The 13,373-nt window shown below is 33.6% G+C and overlaps 1 long non-coding RNA gene across 1 annotated transcript in view; it reads left to right on the top strand.

Annotated features, from left to right (window-relative positions):
* The window catches only part of LOC105376065 (uncharacterized), an 82,523-nt gene continuing 69,150 nt past the window's right edge, over positions 1-13,373 (top strand). Inside the window, exon 1 of the long non-coding RNA XR_007061516.1 lies at positions 1-39. This is a non-coding gene — a long non-coding RNA (uncharacterized LOC105376065). The remainder of the gene's footprint in view (positions 40-13,373) is intronic.

Raw genomic sequence — 13,373 nt, 5'->3', positions numbered from 1 at the left:
GAAGTGTATCTGCATGTGATTCTGCTGTGATGGACACTTGTAAGTTTGTTCCTGGAGTCTCCTGGAATTTGCCCTGAGAATCTTTTTCCTTTGTTGATATGACTCTGCATCCTTTTGTTTTAATAAACTGTAAACATGAGTATAATTGCTTCTCTGAGTTCTGAGAGTTTTTTAAATAATCAAAGCTGAAGAGCAATGGAGACCCCCACCAAAACATCTTTACACATTTCAATTTTGTATTGAAGTAAATTTTATTTTCTTTTTTATACCTCCCATATATATTCTATTTTTCTCATTATTATTTATTTTATCCCAAATCTTTTATCTGTGATCATTTTCCTTTGTTTGAAATTTGTCTTTTGAAATTTCTTTGGAAGGTGCTTTTGGATGATAAATTTTCTGTTATTCTTTGTCTAAAATGTCATTATTTTGACTCATTTATAAAAGGAGTTTTTGTGTTTTATAAACCTCTAATGTATAGAAGTGTGTCTAAACTCATTGAGGATATTTTCCAAATTTTTTCCTACTTTTTATTGCTGTTGATAAGAAGTCAGTGTTGGTATTTTGACTTTTAAGTTATGTGTCATTTTGTTGTGGTAGTTCTGAAGATCTTCCCTCTGTTTTATATTCTCCTTCACCTTTCATAAATGTACTTTATATTTATTTGGTAATAAATTTTGAACATATACTATGCTATAAAGATAATCTAGGCCCTTTGGTTACATCTTGTAAATAAAATCAACAAAATCTGTTTTGAGATTATATTGTAATATAAGATACCCAAAGTAAATAGGATGTGTACCATATGTTTGAAGGTGGTAAATACGATGAGAAAAATAGATCAGGTCAGGAAGAATGAAGATGATTGAAGGTACAGGTTATGATAAAAACTTAGGTGTGCCGAGGAATGAATTCATCTTATGTATCTTGAGTGTAATGTCTTATTTCTCCTGAATCTGAGAATTTGATGTCTTTCATTAGGGATGTCAGTAAATCTCACTAATGAATATATTAGACTCCAGTTTAATATATGATAGTCATTTTCATTCTGTCTTTCATATCACTGAATCCTTTCTCTTTATTGTTCATTTTTATACATCTCTTAATAGTCAAAGTGAATTTAACTATGTTTTACGTTATGTGGTTATTCTCACTTTAGCTATCTCTAATATATTATGAATGTGTCAGTTGTGTGTTTACTATTGTTTGAATTAAACTTTTAAATCATTCATTTTAATTCTTACTTAATTCAAACTTGTTTGTTATACATTCTTATAATTCCAGTATCTGGAGTCTTTCTTCATGTGATTCTTTTATCTCCCTGTTTTCCTCCTATATTCTTTTCATGCACCATCTTTCTCTGTGTGTTTTGTTTTGTTTTACTGTCAATTCCTAACTAATAGAAGTATATTTATGCAAATAATTTTAGGATAGAATTGAAATAGGTTTCCCAAAAGGATTATATAAATTTGTTTGTACCAAAGGCCCAGGGTTATCAACAGAATGAGATCACTTTAAATTTCTGTCCTGAGGATTTTCAAGTTACACAGGTCATATTAGTGAGAACCCCAGAAAAGGGCATTCTTTTTTTTTTTTATATTTCACTTTACGTCCTGGAATAATACATGTGCAGAACGTACAGGTTTGCTACATAGGTATACATGTGCCATGGTTGTTTGCTGCACCTATCAACCCATCATCTAGGTTTTAAGCCCCACATGCAGGTATTTGTCTTAATGCTCTCCCTCCCCTTGCCCTCCACCCCCAACAGGTCCCGGTGTGTAATGTTCCTCTCCCTGTGTCCATGTGCAGAACCTGCAGTTTTGTTACACAGGTAAACATGTGCCATGGTGGTTTGCTTCACCCTTCAACTCGTCACCTACATTAGGTATTTCTCCTAATGTTATCCTTCCCCTAGGCCCCCACCCCTTGCAGCCCCTCCCTGATGATCCCCTCCCTGTGACCATGTGTTCTCATTGTTCAACTCCCACTTATGAAAACATGTGGTGTTTGGTTTTCCTGTGTTAGTCTGCTGAGAGGGATGGCTTCCAGCTTCATCCATGTCCCTGCAAAGGACACAAACTCATCCTTTTTTATGGCTGCATAGTATTCCATGGTGTATATGTGCCACATTTTCTTTATCCAGTCTATCATTGATGGACATTTGGGTTGGTTCCAAGTCTTTGCTATTGTAAATAGTGCTGCAATAAACATACGTGTGCCTGTGTCTTTAGAGTAGAATAATTTATAATCCTTTGAGTATATACCCAGTAATAAGATTGCTGGCTCAAATGGTATTTCTAGTTCTAGATCCTTGAGGAATCACCATACTGTCTTCCACAATGGTTGAACTAATTTACACTCCCACCAATAGTGTAAGAGTGTTCTCTTACTACACTTCCAATTTGGCTGGACTTTGAACTTTGTCTCTGGTCCCCTGCTTTTTACAGTCCCAAGAAACATGGCCTCATCCTTATCAGGACCAGAGAATGCTCTCAAGGTAAAACCTTAATTTTCATAAAATTGTTGTCTTCTTGCCTGATAATTGTGACACTAAAGCAAGATTTTTTTAATGTTTCAACCAACTTTTAAGAATTATTTTAGTGGTAGGACTGAGCCAGGTTTCTAATCCACACTACTGCAGATAAAAAAATGACAAAAGGTAACTTTCAAAAATAGAGGCCGGGCGTGGTGGCTCACGCCTGTAATCCCAGCACTTTGGGAGGCCAAGGCGGGCAGATCACGAGGTCAGGAAATTGAGACTATCCTGGCTAACACGGTGAAACCCCGCCTCTACTAAAAATACAAAAAAAATTAGCTGGGCGTGGTGTCGGGTGCCTGTAGTCCCAGCTGCTCGGGAGGCTGAGGCAGGAGAATGGTGTGAACCCACAAGGTGGAGCTTGCAGTGAGCCGAGATCGCGCCACAGGACTCCAGCCTGGGTGACAGAGAGAGACTCCATCTCAAAAAAAAAAAAAAAAAAAAAAAGAAATTCATCTTTTTTCATGAAAGATTTATTATACATTCTAAATAAAATGGAGATAGAAAGTTAGCATTTGAACTTTAAAGTTGTTAGCATAAGGAGCAATGAAAACTAAATTTCTCCTGGGAGTTACTCATTTTTCTGGGTTGTAAATGAATGCCATATTATTTTTTGATGTTTAATGTAAAATATTATTGACTGTAATAATCCAATATGATCTAGGATATTCAGTCTTACACAACATAGGGATACAGTATAGGTTGATGTACATCCAAAATTATAACACACTTTGTTCAAACACAATGCACATTACATTTTCCTGTAGCTCAAATCTGTGTTATCTGTATTATTAAGAGATATAAAGAGAGGATTCAAAATAATAGCTGAAGAATTCTCACTAATTTTATGAATCTAGTAGATCAAAATGTTACTCTAACATTAATAATTTCATAATACAGACTGTGAGGCTTATATAAATCTGTTTCAAAAAATGTATAGCATTCTTTAGCTTTCATGTTGTAAAACATTCAGAATATAATCCAAAATAAAGTTGTAATAAATTATCGCATTTTAATGAGTATTTTAACATAAAACGTGAGTTTGGGATTATTATAAATCCAAAGACACATAAACTCAGTTTCTAAAAGATATGATTGAGGGGAAATCATGATTTATTATATCTTCATTTTATCAAAAAAAGACACAGTTATTATTTATAATAAAGATGATTACAATGCACACATACTCTTTTGTGAGTTGCCACAGAATTTTCTATTACCAAAACCTGTCAAGTTCAACACATGTCTAGAATATGTATAAATAAAGGTTGATCTGTGATATTAGATATTATCAAATAAAAAATATTCTTATTGAAAAAAATGTGATTCCTTATGACAACTTCAGGGCATCTTCTATTTGCCCCCTGTTATCAACAGGGGAAATTTTCTTTCCTACATTTCTCACTAATCATTTCTGACAAGTAGTTGGCAAGCTTAACTCTAAAGGGTCGTCCATAGGGTTCTAGGTCAACCTTACCCTTTGGGAAGAAAGTACACATGATGTCTATGAATAAATGCCCTCCAACAAAGGAAAAGGACAATGCTTTACATAGTGTGTGCATAATCATTTTTCAACATAATTAGCTTATCTATTTGTGACATGATTTTACTGTCATTGCAGGTGTTTGACATGACCCACGTTTTTTCTTTGTGCCAAGAAATACAATGGTTTTGTATTACATTAATACTTTAGATCATCTATAATATGAGTCAGGTTTGGTTAAAAAATATATAAAAATAAAAATCTCAGTTCTATTCGAAATACTAATGAAAGTATCTTACCAAAGTAAGACATTAGCAATGCATTGTCTGTCACTTGATATTTTGTGTGTTTGCTCATTTCAACAAGGGAAAGAGAATTAGAAAATTGGAAGAAAATTATTTAAGTAATTCTTGTAAAATTAATATACATATTAAATATCATGAAGGGTAGAAACAGAGTTAACATTTAAAACGTTTATAACTAATGTGTAAATTTAATTGAAAGCCAACTGATTGCTCTGAATTTTTATGAGGAATAATCACAATTGTACAGAAAATAACTGACACCGAAAGTATCTACCTTTTCACATTTAAATGCAAGTGACTTTTTGTTCATTCATTCAAAAATTATGGATTATTATACTTTAGCTTAAATGTTTGTCTCCCCTCTAAAAGCCATTTTGAAACTTAATCCTCAATGCAATAGTATTAAGAAGTCAGGCCTTTAGGAGTAATTAGGCCATGAGGACTCTGTACTCATAGATGGGATTAGTGCATTGCAAAAGGGCTGAAGGGAACTAGCTAATGTAAGGACACAGCATTCAAGTTACCATTTTAGAAGCAGAAACTGGGACCTCACTTGGTGCCAAACCTGCCAGAACCATGGTTTTGAACTTTTCAGCCTCCTGGACTGTGAGAAACAAGTTTCTGTTCTTATCAGTCTCAGCTATTTTGTTACAGAAGCACAAGCGAACTGAGACCTGAGATGGGAGTGTTTATGTGCTAGGTATGGAGCTAATTTCTGAATAAATAAAGATGAATACATTCTATGACCTCATCATCTAGTGCCTGTTACAGTGACGCAGCGGATATTTTTTCTTGCCTTATTACTCATTTTTGCTCTCCTCACTAAATATTGAGGAAAACATGAATGCATCATCAGTTTTTCCACTGATAGAACTGTTTAAGAAGTACATATGACATTATATTTTTTCTTTCTGTATTCTGTAGACTTACCTGTAAAGTCTAAGGCTAACATTGACTTTATGCTAATTAGTACTGTGTTCATTTCAGATGTGTAATATGCCTTGTACAAATATAAATAGATAAAACATTAAAGGTGCTACTACTCAAAACACACAGGGAATAAAATATTCTATTTGAAACATCAACATAGAGTTTACACTGAGGGAAATTTTTATTCATTAGTTTAAATGGGGAAAATACAATAAATATTATTGGGTTAAAATAGAGAAAGTTAAGTGGAAAGATGAAATGATGAAGAACCCAGAGAAAATTGTTCAGTTTGCATACAAATTGGGAAATTAACACCTAACCTGCCTAGGTAGAATTTCATAGCATTAACTAAAATAATTACTTAAACTTACAAGATTTATTAGAAAAATATGAATAGAAAAATAAAATGCATTGTTGCATTTTATGTAATTTTACTTGAACTTAGTTTATAACATGTACATAGATTAAGTTGATTTAAATATTTTATGTACAAAAAACTATATTGTTGAAGATTCTAAGAGCTTAAAACTAAAATACAAGATAAACATTTACTTAACAAAAAGAGTAAATAAGATGAAGAATTTGAAAGAATTTAAGAATTAATTTCAGTTTCTTTTCCAAAATGTATGTGGTTAGCCTACAATGCTTTTACAATCTGTTATTTCATGAGTATGAATATTGATTTTATTATTACCTAAACATGTATTATTTTTAAAATATGGCAAAAGAATTAAAGTTCTATAGTTTGACAAAGCTGTAAAGCAGATCAATCCTTTGACAGCTTAATGAATAAAGCATGCATGTAGTTGACACTAATTCATTTAATAAACATTTGTAGAACATATATGTGTAAGAAATTGTGCTAAGGAGATGAATGGCACATTAAAATAAGAAGACAAGTTTCCAGATACTAAGGAGTTTATGTAACTGTAAGGTACATAAAACAATACAAATGAAAAGGCTAAAATAAATCAGAAAATGAAGGGAAGAAAACAAATATCCATATTAAGTATACATAATATCTCAAATATTCTTTAAGATGTCTTAAATAGATTTTAATATTTAATCCTAATGACAGGATAATCTGATTTATTACAGACGATATAATTGAGGCTAATACAAATCTGTTGACTTTAAATTTTCAAAGTCTTCCTGAATTATTTGACTGTGTAATATTTTGGTAAACATAAATAAGTGGATACTAATGCATTGAAACAGAAACAGAATACTGTTCAAGAAATAGAAAAAAATGAAACAACACAAAAGATCGAATTTGTAGTATGACTACAATTTAAGATTTAATAAAGACAAAAATAGAAACCAATATGTAGTTAGGAGGATAGAAAAAAGTACAGTGGACCCTCCATATCCACAGGTTCTGCATGTGTGGATTCAACCACCCATGGATCAAAAATATTTGGAAAAACATTTATGAAAAAGTGAACACATATGGAATTCTGCCTTGTCATTATCCCCTAAAGAACACACTATAACTAACTACATAACATTTACATTGTACTTGGTATCATAAGAAATCTAGAGATGATTTAAAGTATGTGACAGTGTGGATGTAGGTGTATAAAATACTATTATACATCATTTTATGGAAGGGTCTTGAGCATCTGTAGATTTTTGTGTCTGAGGGTTCCTAGAACCAGTACCCCACAAATACAGAGGAACAACTGTAATGAGTTCCTAGTAAACTAGGCTGAAGTATTATAACTGTACACAAAATAATTTAAGGCAGAATGATTAAATAATATATAGCAGTATGTATAAGAAGTGAAGATAATTGAAAATTAAATTGATAGGAAAGACATGACAAATATAATGAAATCAATGGAAAAGTTAAAACTTTAGCAAGATGTACAAGCAAGGATTGGGTAGATTTCATCTGAAAGATATAATTTCTAATGACAAAGTACTTTAATAGTCTAGCCTAATATTTTATTGTATCTTAAAACTTCCCTCTGGCTCATTCTGGTCTTATCACACCAGCTTTCTTATGGCTTCTTTTATCTGCCAAGAATTATGCTCTGGTCTAATTGACCTCCCCAAATTTGTATATTAAAATTCTCACCACCAAGGTGATAATATTAAAAAATGGGCAATTTTGTAGGTGACTGGATCATGGGAGTGGAGCCCTTATGAAAGGTGCCAGAGAGACCCCTCCCTCTTCCACCATGTGAGGTTAGACTGAGAAATACATCTCTGTGGTTTATGAGCTGCTCAGTCTATGGCATTTTGTTATAGCAGCCCATGCTAATGAATACAGATGACCGTGTGTCTGCAGACCTTCCTAGGAAATTATTGAGTCCTTCATTGAATACTAAACTGTGAATACATGAGAGAAAATAACTGAAGCCTGGGGTAAAATGCCAACACAAAGGGTTTGAAGAACAATTCTCAAAGCTCAGAAAGCTCTGCAAATATTATTGTTGCCACAAACCAAAGTAGAAGACAGGGTAATGTATGAGCTATTAGGTAGAATCTTTGGAAGAATCCTGCTTTTGTGATGGAACTCACTCATTCCTAAACCTAAAGCAACTCTACATCTTCTCTAAGAAAATTTTATAGCAATCTCTAAAAGCATCAAACTGATTCCAAATAATTTAACTGTGTTTGAGAACAAAATACAAATATACAAAAGGAATTCAACAAAATCCATCACATAACAATATAGAATTCACAATATCTGGTTTTGGTGAACATAATAATTAGCGTTGAAACATGTTAATTCAGGTGTTAAAAATATGCTTTATTTTTTCAAATAAGATGGGAAAATATGTATATTACGAGAAGATAAAAATGGAAGAAATAAAAACAAGCAGACTCCTAAAACAGAAAAAATAACTATATTAGATTAAAAATGTATGAATAAATTTAACAGCACTTTAACCATTGTAGAAAAAATACCAGTGATTTTGATAACATAACAATATAAACTATCCAAAACAGAAAACATAGACACATTTGAAAAAACAACCACACTGTGTTTGACAATATCAAGCAGCATAATACAAGAAGAGATGGAGTCCCAGAAGAACACTGAGTGGATGTATGTGTGTGAGTATGTGGTAGGGAAGAACAAAACCAAAAATTTGAAGAAACGATTGCCAAAATGTTATTAGAATCACAAATAAAGACAAAATGGCAAGGTAAACTATTGTCTAATTTCTGAAAATCAGTGAGAAAGAGAAAAATCTTAAAAGGCATCAGAGATGAAAAAATAATCCACATCAAAAGAAATACACACACAAACACACAAATACGGGCAATTTTCTTCAGAAACTATGAAAGCTTGGAGACAATGGAGCAATCATAAATAATTAAATAATAAAAAACAGCTTTATCTACATTTTTATAACAAGTAGAAAATTTTAAGCACTAAAGCAAAATAGGGCTCATTTATTTTTAGAAAATTAAAAATAGGTTTGGAACTAGGGTAAAGAAAATGACACAACTAGGTCCCAAAACCTAAAGAGCTACTCACTTTCAGAGTTATATATTTGAGATTGAGAGTGCAAGACTTGTGCCTTGTGTGACCCGAGAGAGTGCCTCATTAAGTGTTTCACCAGAGGTAAAATTTGCTCATCTCAACGTTGTCTCAGCACTGAACAAAATCTAAAGAATTTCATTGTCAGTCATCCTCCATTGTCATTTATAAGAAAGATTCCTAAGGCAGAAGTAAAATTTTATGAGATGTATATGTGTGTCTGCAGAAAAAAACTGGCAATGTATTATACTGCATATCAAGTGATATACTGTTATTTGAAAGTAGGCTGTGGGCCGGGCGCGGTGGCTCACGCCTGTAATCCCAGCACTTTGGGAGGCCGAGGCGGGCGGATCACGAGGTCAGGAGATCGAGACCATCCCGGCTAAAATGGTGAAACCCCGTCTCTACTAAAAATACAAAAAATTAGCCGGGCGTAGTGGCGGGTGCCTGTAGTCCCAGCTACTTGGGAGGCTGAGGCAGGAGAATGGCGTGAACCCGGGAGGCGGAGCTTGCAGTGAGCCGAGATCCCGCCACTGCACTCCAGCCTGGGCAACAGAGCGAGACTCCGTCTCAAAAAAAAAAAAAAAAAAAAAAGAAAGTAGGCTGTGATGAGTTAAGTATTTATATTTTAAAACTTAAAGTAGAAGTATTTATATTTTAAACCTTAAAACAGAAGTATTTATATTTTAAACCTTAAAGCAGAACCTAAAAAAGAAGTACATTAGTAAACCAATAGTAGAAATAACACAAAATAATGAAGTACATATTTAACTAATCTACAAAATTTAAAAAAAGGATAAATAATTGAACAAGGAGCATATAAGATAAATAGAAAACATAGCAAGAAGGTATATTTAAACCTAAGCTTATTCATAATCACATTACATTACATGTAAATCATTCATACACATCAATGAAAAATCAGAAATCTAATTCTGTCTACTAAAATTCTACTGCAAATATAAATACATAGATATCTGTGTGTGTAGTACAAACAAAAATTTATAGAAAACTAGAGTTACTATATTAATGTCAAACTAAATATATTTCAGAATGAAATATATTACTAGTGATAGAAAATATACTCACTGATTATAAAGGGGTCAATTTATTAAGATAACTAAACAATATTAACACAAAGAAACTATACATGTTAAGGTGATGAATATCAGAATCCTGATTTGATAATTGTATGTCGTATGCTTGTATGCATATGTACCCCATACATATGTGCAACTATTATGTATCCATAATAATTAAAAATTTTTTAGAAATAAAGAATTAGATAAATGTAATAGTGCCATGTGTTTATGTTAGAAAAGAAAAAAGAATCTAATCAGTTCCTAAAGCAAATTAAACCCAAACAAAACAGAATGCTGTTGTCTGAATGTTTGTGTCTCCTCGAATTTCCTATGTAGAAATCCTAACTCCCAAACTTATGGTATTAGGAGATGGGGTCTTCTGGGAGGTGCTTAGATCATGAAAGTAGAGATCTGGGGCTCTTTTATAAGGGTACTAAATTAGTACTACATTAAGGATAGTAAATGAGTAGTTTTCTTACATAAGAGACCCCAGAGAGCTACCTTGCTCTTTCCATTATGTGAAGATGCAGAGAGAAGGAACCATCTATGAACCAGGAAATGGGCCCTCACCAGACATCAAATATTTGAGAGCCTTGATTTCAGACCTCTCAGCCTCCGGAACTATGAGAAGTAAATTTATAAGTTATAAGTTTATGTTATTATAAATTATAAAATTATGTTGTTTATAAGCCACAACAAAAAGGTATTTTTCTATTGCAGTCGAAATGTACTAAGGTACAAAGAAATAATAAAATACATATAAGAACAAAAATCAATAAAAATTGAAAGAACACCAAAATGGAATATCAATAAAATAAAAAGCTAATTTATTAAAAAATGAAAAAATTCTAGCTATACTTAACAAAAAAGAGAAAAAATGCTAAATACTAAAGCCAGTAATGAAAGGCTGTCACTAATTATACTATAGGTTATAAAATGATAGTAAGCATACAATGTTTAAACTTTATGCAAATACATTTTAAAAGTTTGGTAAACGGACACATTACTTGAGAGAAAAGAGGTTACAAAATTCACTTAAAAATAAAGAGACACCATGAATAATCCTGCATCTATTAAATACATTAAATCTATAATTTGAAACTCACACACAAAATAATTCCAGGTCAGGAAGGTTTCACTCTTGTATTCTCACAATGTTTAAAGAATAAATAGTAACAACTCTATGCAAAGTCTTCCAGAAATAAAAGAGGAAGCAACCCTAACAATACATTATATGAGGTACAGATTACCCTTAAAGGAAAAAAATAGGTAGAGATTAACAGAAAACTACAGACCTACATTTTGATTTAAAAAAATTTTTTTTTCTTTTATTATTATACTTTAAGTTTTAGGGTACATGTGCACAATGTGCAGGTTAGTTACATATGTATACATGTACCATGCTGGTGCGCTGCACCCACTAACTCGTCATCTACCATTAGGTATATCTCCCAATGCTATCCCTCCCCCCTCCCCCCACCCCACAACAGTCCCCAGAGTGTGATGTTCCCCTTCCTGTGTCCATGTGATCTCATTGTTCAATTCCCACCTATGAGTGAGAATATGCGGTGTTTGGTTGTTTGTTCTTGCAGTAGTTTACTGAGAATGATGATTTCCAATTTCATCCATGTCCCTACAAAGGACATGAACTCATCATGTTTTATGGCTGCATAGTATTCCATGGTGTATATGTGCCACATTTTCTTAATCCAGTCTATCATTGTTGGACATTTGGGTTGGTTCCAAGTCTTTGCTATTGTGAATAGTGCCACAATAAACATACGTGTGCATGTGTCTTCATAGCAGCATGATTTATAGTCCTTTGGGCATATAGCCAGTAATGGGATGGCTGGGTCAAATGGTATTTCTAGTTCTAGATCCCTGGGGAATCGCCACACTGACTTCCACAATGGTTGAACTAGTTTACAGTCCCACCAACAGTGTAAAAGTGTTCCTATTTCTCCACATCCTCTCCAGCACTTGTTGTTTCCTGACTTTTTAATGATCGCCCTTCTAACTGGTGTGAGATGGTATCTCATTGTGGTTTTGATTTGCATTTCTCTGATGGCTAGTGATGATAAGCATTTTTTCATGTGTTTTTTGGCTGCATAAATGTCTTCTTTTGAGAAGTGTCTGTTCATGTCCTTCGCCCACTTTTTGATGGGGTTGTTTGTTTTTTTCTTGTCAATTTGTTTGAGTTCATTGTAGATTCTGGATATTAGCCCTTTGTCAGATGAGTAGGTTGCAAAAATTTTCTCCCATTTTGTAGGTTGCCTGTTCACTCTGATGGTAGTTTCTTTTGCTGTGCAGAAGCTCTTTAGTTTAATTAGATCCCATTTGTCAATTTTGTCTTTTGTTGCCATTGCTTTTGGTGTTTTAGACATGAAGTCCTTGCCCATGCCTATGTCCTGAATGGTATTGCCTAGGTTTTCTTCTAGGGTTTTTATGGTTTTAGGTCTAACGTTTAAGTCTTTAATCCATCTTGAATTGATTTTTGTATAAGGTGTAAGGAAGGGATCCAGTTTCAGCTTTCTACATATGGCTCGCCAATTTTCCCAGCACCATTTATTAAATAGGGAATCCTTTCCCCAATGCTTGTTTTTCTCAGGTTTGTCAAAGATCAGATAGTTGTAGATATGCAGCGTTATTTCTGAGGGCTCTGTTCTGTTCCATTGATCTATATGTCTGTTTTGGTACCAGTACCATGCTGTTTTGGTAACTGTAGACTTGTAGTATAGTTTGAAGTCAGGTAGCGTGATGCCTCCAGCTTTGTTCTTTTGGCTTAGGATTGACTCGGCGATGCAGGCTCTTTTTTGGTTTCATATGAACTTTAAAGTAGTTTTTTCCAATTCTGTGAAGAAAGTCATTGGTAGCTTGATGGGGATGGCATTGAATCTGTAAATTACCTTGGGCAGTATGGCCATTTTCACGATATTGATTCTTCCTACCCATGAGCATGGAATGTTCTTCCAGTTGTTTGTATCCTCTTTTATTTCCTTGAGCAGTGGTTTGTAGTTCTCCTTGTAGAGGTCCTTCACATCCCTTGTTAGTTGGATTCCTAGGTATTTTATTCTCTTTGAGGCAATTGTGAATGGGAGTTCACTCATGATTTGACTCTCTGTTTGTTTGTTGTTGGTGTATAAGAATGCTTGTGATTTTTGTACGTTGATTTTGTATCCTGAGACTTTGCTGTAGTTGCTTATCAGCTTAAGGAGATTTTGGGCTGAGACAATGGGGTTTTCTAGATATACAATCATGTCATCTGCAAACAGGGACAATTTGACTTCCTCTTTTCCTAATTGAATACCCTTTATTTCCTTCTCCTGCCTAATTGCCCTGGCCAGAACTTCCAACACTATGTTGAATAGGAGTGGTGAGAGAGGGCATCCCTGTCTTGTGCCAGTTTTCAAAGGGAATGCTTCCAGTTTTTTCCCATTCAGTATGATATTGGCTGTAGATTTGTCATAGATAGCTCCTATTATTTTGAAATACGTCTCATCAATACCTAATTTTTTGAGAGTTTTTAGCATGGAGTGTT

Source organism: Homo sapiens, chromosome 9 (genome assembly GCF_000001405.40).
Source record: "Homo sapiens chromosome 9, GRCh38.p14 Primary Assembly".
NCBI lineage: Eukaryota > Metazoa > Chordata > Mammalia > Primates > Hominidae > Homo > Homo sapiens.
This window is presented reverse-complemented; position numbering and strand designations above follow the sequence as displayed.